At 70.1% G+C, this 375-nt stretch overlaps 1 annotated feature.

The window, feature by feature from the left end:
• Positions 311-360: an enhancer, noted in NCBI's record as "active region_10676". NCBI's record gives its function as "activates an Ori minimal core promoter by ATAC-STARR-seq in GM12878 lymphoblastoid cells {active_cell/tissue: GM12878}" and the evidence as "EXISTENCE:reporter gene assay evidence [ECO:0000049][PMID:35858748]".

Raw genomic sequence — 375 nt, 5'->3', positions numbered from 1 at the left:
GCTGCTGATTGGCTGACGATGGCGCAGGTGGTGGGCGCGCGGGAGACAGGGCGGCTTCTCTCCTCTTCCCCCCGCCAACGATTCCACTCCCCCTCCCTCCGCCAGCGGCCGTTATTTCGCGCGCACGCGCACAAGGCCGCCGTCGTTGCCGAGCGGGAGAATGGGGGAGCGCGCGCGCCGGGGGCACGGACGGGGCGGGGCTAATCCCTGAGCGCGCGCCCGCCTAACGGTCGCAGGCCTCATGCTTCGGCTTCCGCTTTTTGCGTCCTGCAGGCCACCGTCCTCCCCGCCCCACCCCAGCGGTGTATTTACAATCCTGCGCTGAGTCGTTCCCCGAAGATGGCGCCCAGTGGAGTCGCCTGCCTTGCTCGCGGC

The sequence above is a fragment of the Homo sapiens genome, chromosome 16, assembly GCF_000001405.40.
Source record: "Homo sapiens chromosome 16, GRCh38.p14 Primary Assembly".
NCBI classification, from domain to species: domain Eukaryota; kingdom Metazoa; phylum Chordata; class Mammalia; order Primates; family Hominidae; genus Homo; species Homo sapiens.
The sequence above is the reverse complement of the archived record's forward strand: the minus strand, read 5'-3'. Positions and strand labels throughout refer to the sequence as shown.